Below are 5,624 nucleotides of genomic sequence, written 5' to 3' on the forward strand. Positions count from 1 at the left end.
CCAGACCTCTGTCACTTCTCTTAGGTCTTAGTTCCAACTATAAAGACAAATCTGAATTCAGATAGAAGCCGAGCAGGATCTTCTTCCCCCTTTGTCCCTGTGAGCAGTTTTAATACAGACTTACTCGGAAGACCAGTGGCACCAGGGGGTTGTTGCTGCACCGCCAGCTGTGTGTCTCCCTCTCTTATCATTACAATCAAGTGCTTTGAGTCATCTTTCACATTAATGGAGCTCCCAGGAGGATTCATTCCCGTCACCTCGTTATCTCTGGCTCACCAGGTTTTTACTATTCAGTGTTTTGCTGCTCACAAGATTGGGGGAATAGCTATCAACACATCCCATCAACGAAAGTAGAGAACAGAAGTAGACATGAGACAGCATAACATAGGCACATAAACAGAAGATGGGTCGCAAACATGTTTGTCACATTAAGCACGTTTAGGGCAAAAGGAACCTGACTTGCAAACAAGGAGGTGTTGACTCTGCGGAGAAGTGGATGGTCTACAGTCTGCTAAAAGCTCAGTGGTGGGACTGGTTTGCCGGTTTCTGTGATGGGGAGGGAGGAAGAGAAAGAGATGAAAGGAGCTTTGGAGGTATTTAGTGTTGGGTGGTGAATACTTTCTTCATTTCAACTCAGAATGGGAATGTGTTAGATGGGCAAGATGGTTTTCCTTAGTATTAAATTGCAGCACAAGAATATTATAGAGATTATGATGCCAGTCAGGAGAACAGCATGAACCCAGGAGGCGGAGCTTGCAGTGAGCTGAGATCACACCACTGCACTCCAGAGCCTGGGCAACAGAGCAAGACTCAGTCTCAAAAAATAAAAAAAATAAAAAAAATAAAGACAAAGAGATTATGATGCCAGAGCTAGAGGATGTAAAATTCCGATTCTATGTGAATAGATGCTGAGCCTTCTATTGGAATCTTTTATGTCTGTAGTCTTCAGGATATAGCATCAAGTTCAAGTAGGAGAAAAAGAGAATCCTGAGGATTTAGTAGTTTCTGGAGAAATTAAAGAGGAAAGTGAGGTCTCAAGCTCTACTTGGCAAGATTCAAAACTCCCTGGTCAATTAGGGCACTGGATGCATAGATCCAATAGCAACATTTATTCAAGAAATACTTATTGAGTACTTCCTCTGTATCCAGTCCTATATTTGTCCTGGGAATATAATGTGGAATAAGACAGGCATGATTCCTGCTCTCCAGAGCAACAAATAATAAAACCTCAGGGTTGAGAGGCCATTTCGGGTCTTATGTAGGTAGTATAAATGATTTGATAAAAGAGGAAATGGAGAATAAAGATGTCAAATGACTTGCCTAAGAGTTTGGCTCATCAGTGAGCTAATCAGTTTTAATCCAAAAGCTCTGAAGTGAAGCCTGTGCTGTACATCCTGTGATTCTACTGGGATGGGGGAGTAGGCTCCAATTTGATTTCCAGCCTGAGTCAGGCTGCAACTCAGCTTCTCAGAGAAACCTTCTTCACTGGGGCGGAAGGGTTGTGTTGTTGTCTGTTGATCTAGATTTTATTAATAATGTGGTACCTTATTCCCCTTGGCCATTGTTTTTTATATGTAGACTCTTCCTCAAATGGAAAAAGGGATGAATGGAAGAATCCCAGTACCCAAATACTCTCCTATAACCTAACACTATTCTGTTATTTTATATTGGGGAAATAAAAGCTGACTGTAATAACAGCAAAATGTACACAAGTAGGCAAGCTTTTTGTTTATAAAACACACATAGAAAATACATTTTTGAATAACCCACCTTTTAAAGTTTTTCCAGAATTTCTCAGCTCCCTTTCTTAATGGAGCACAGGTAATATGTCTGTCTTAACCATTTCACCCTAAACTCTGTAATTCATGCTAAAAATGAGTCTCTAAACCACAGATTAACAAGTTGATCTTCCTCCCTTTTCTGAACTCCATAGTTGGGATTCCTTCTCCTTGACTCTTTTAGACAGCCTTGAAACAATGGTGCAAGCAGCTGCATCCTACACCCATATGGCCTGTTGATGTGAAAATAGCATCATCCCCTGCACAGTAGAGCAGGGGACGGAGTCCTTCCCTGAATGCTTCTGCTTGTCAGCTTCTGTAGCAGGGGTACCAGCAGGATGGAAAGTGAAGAATGCATCCTTCAGTCCTTCACTGAAAGGGCAGCTCTCTTCTGCTCATCTCTCAAGTTGGGCTGTGTGAAGGAATGGCATATATGCACAGGGCCTGAGGTGTGATGTGGTTTCTTACTAAAATAAATCACACTGACTGGGTGTGGTGGCTCACGCCTGTAATCCTAGCACTTTGGGAGGCCAAGGCAAGTCAATTGCTTGAGGTCAGGAGTTCGAGACCAGCCTGGCCAATATGGTGAAACCCCGTCTCTACTGAAAATACAAAAATTAGCTGGGTGTGTTGGCTTGCGCCTGTAGTCCCAGCTACTTGGGGGCCGAGGTGGGAAGATCGCTTGAGACCAGGAGATGGACTGATACCCTGCCTCAAAAATAATAAAATAAAATAAATCACACTGGAGGATTCATCAGGGAATCAACTTTCCGATTACAGAGAGCCGTGGCCATTGGAACCCTTTGATGGAAAATCTATTTTACCTTCTCACCTGGTAAAATTTCCCCTAACTTCTATTTTGGTTGGCAAAACTAAGTTCTCTAAAATGAAAGACCATGTTGTCTACTTCTTTTCTATCACTGACACTAGACTGCTCTGAATTTATGGTTATTTTGGAAATGTTTGTTGGGTGGATGGACGGGTGAGTGCACAATAATTGCTCCCATTTATTTAGGACCAATGATGTGCCAGGCATTGCCATATCATTAAACATGAAAACTCCTTTGGAATAAATATAATCATCAAGTTTTACGTAGAACATAAAGCCAGTTTTGAGCCCAGATCTATCTGGTCCTTCCTGGAGTTAACCCCACTGTGCTAGTTTAGTAGATGGTCTCTTTTATGGAATCGACATTTACTTGAGTGTTTCCTGTATTCAGAGGTTCTGGGTGGAGGGGGATAGATTGAAAGGAGAAGACAGAGTAATTATGTCTTACAAGAGGCAGCAAGACATGGCAGGAAGAGTGAGCCCAGAGATTTATGTGATTTCCCTATCTCCTTGCATTAGGGTGGAACCAGTAGGAAATATATACATGGAATTGGCTCACATAATTACAAAGACTGGGAAGTCCTACAATCTACTGTTTGCAAGCTGGAGACCCAGGAAAGGTAGTTGTGTAACTTAGTCCAAAAGGTGAGAACCATAGGAGCTAATGGTATAAATCCTAATCTAAGGGCTGGAGACAATGAGATGAGATGTTCCAGCTCAAGCAGGCAGGTAGGAATCAAAAAAAAAAAGGAGCAAGCCCCTCCTTCTCTCACGTTTGTTCTATTCAGGCCCCTGATGGACTGGATGATTCACAGTTTCACTGGGGAAGGGGATCTATTTTAGCGAGTCCAGCAATCAAGTGATAACCTCATCTGGAAACACCCTCACAGACATACCCTGAAATAATGTTTAATCTGGGCACTTTATGGGCAGTTAAATTGATATATAAAATTAACCATCACACTCCTCATTGAAAATGAGACAGACAAACACACACAGAGTAATCTATTCTATATAGCTACATGATCTTTAAATTTCTACTGCTGCAAAATTTGGTAATACATTGAATAGGTTGGAATGAATGGACACATTTTCAAGATGTAGCAAACTTTCTGAATAAGTGCCAGACTGAAGTAGTCCTTTGGGGGCTCACTCTTAAAAGACATTCCAAGGTCATGTGAGGTTGCTCTTCACACAAAGACACATGGGCCAGAAGTGGCTCTGATAGGGGGAGACAGCACAAAAGGTGACCTCTCTGCTTCAGGAGCACAAGTCACCCCATCTGTGGAGATGGTGAGCTTGCTGGGGAGAGTACAAAAGTGAAGGCCATTGATCTTACCCAAGAGTGGGCAAACTGTTGTGGAATAAAGCCTGCCACTCATCAGCCCTGGATCCCGAGTGGTTAGGTGTAGAGTGAGGGTGAAGAAGTAGAAAACACAGAACCTTTTAAGTTGGAGCTCCTCATTTGTTTATTTCCATAGAGCCTAGAACAATCCTTGACACTCAGTGAATCTGTTGAATGGATGAGGGGATGAATTAACCTGTTCTTGTTTCTTTTCTTTTCTTTTTCTTTTCTAGACAGGGATCTTACTTTGCCACCCAGGCTGGAGTACAGTGATGCAATCATGGCTCACTTGCAGCCTGGACCTTCCAGCCTCAAATGATCCTCCCACCTAAGCCTCCCAGGCAGCTGGGACTACAGGCTGTGCCACCACGCCTGGCTAATTTGATTTTAAATTTTTGTTGGAGACAGAGTCTGGGTGCAAGTGATTCTCTGCCTTGGCCTCACAAAATGCTGGGATTACAGATGTGAGCTACTGCACCAGGCCTTAATTAACCTGTTCTTGAAGAGTCAATCAGTTAGTATGTGGCTCAGTTGCATATAACCTAAACCCCATATAACAGTGGCTTCAAAAGACTGGGGTTGTGTGTTTGTTTTTGTGTAAAAGAAATCTTGGGCTGGTATAGAAGCTTTGGCCATCAAAGATCCAGGATTTTCCCATCTTTCTGCTCCGCCATCCTTAGTGTGAATTTCTCCCTTTAGATCCCCGCCTTGTCTGCAGCCTGCATGGAGTTCCCATCCCAGCCACCAGGTCTAAGTTTCAGGCATCGAGAGGGAGGAAGAGGTGAGGTGGGTAAGAGTACCTCACTGTTGTGTCGGCTCCTTTTAAAGAGTTTTCCCAGAATCTCCACCCAACAACTTCTGATTGTGTGGCTTTGGCCATCCCTTCCTGCAAGGAGTCTGGGAAGCATGTACATTTATCCTGGCTCATTGCCACTTCCAGCGCTGGAAGGAGGAAGGGGAGAATCCATATTGAGCAGGCAACTAGTGATCTTTGCCATACAGTCTGTGGCAGATAATAGTAAAACAAATGAAAAGTTAGAAAACAAAAAACAAAAACAAAACAGGCCGGATTATACGGAAGGCCAGGTTAGCTAAGTCTAGCCCAAAGGGCGGTGCAGGGGAGCGAGTACAAGCTGAGGCATCAGCCTGCCTCAGCGCTTCTTCGTGGCTCTGTGATCACTAAGACAATTTCCCTGGTCACCTCAGTACCTCAGTGCCTTCGTTCTCTTGTCCATAAAATGGAATGATGTGGAAGCGGACCTCACAGGGTTGTTGGAAGGTTTGAAAGATGTAGATGTACAAGTGCTTTTTTTTTTTTTTTTCTTTTTTGAGATGGAGTCTCACTCTGTTGCCCAGGCTGGAGTGCAGTGGCGTGATCTCGCCTCACTGCAACCACTGCCTCCTGGGTTCAAGCAATTCTCCTGCCTCAGCCTCCCAAGTAGCTGGAATTACAGACACCCACCACCACATCTGGCTAATTTTTTGTATTTTTAGTACAGACGTGGTTTCGCCATGTTGGCCAGGCTGGTCTCAAACTCCTGACCTCAGGACTTGCCTCCCAAAGTGCTGGGATTACAGGAGTGAGCCACCGCACCGGGTCGTACAAGTGCTTTTAAGCTGGAAGGCGCTAGATGAATATCCCTTCTATAAGTGTTTGGAGAAAAAAGACAAT

General features: G+C 43.7%; 1 annotated feature.

Moving 5' to 3' along the window:
• Positions 304 to 987: an enhancer, noted in NCBI's record as "NANOG-H3K27ac hESC enhancer chr11:121514837-121515520 (GRCh37/hg19 assembly coordinates)". NCBI's record gives its function as "activates a minimal SCP1, AML or CMV promoter by ChIP-STARR-seq in naive H9 embryonic stem cells {active_cell/tissue: H9 hESC(naive)}" and the evidence as "EXISTENCE:reporter gene assay evidence [ECO:0000049][PMID:30033119]".

Source organism: Homo sapiens, chromosome 11 (assembly GCF_000001405.40).
Source record: "Homo sapiens chromosome 11, GRCh38.p14 Primary Assembly".
NCBI lineage: Eukaryota > Metazoa > Chordata > Mammalia > Primates > Hominidae > Homo > Homo sapiens.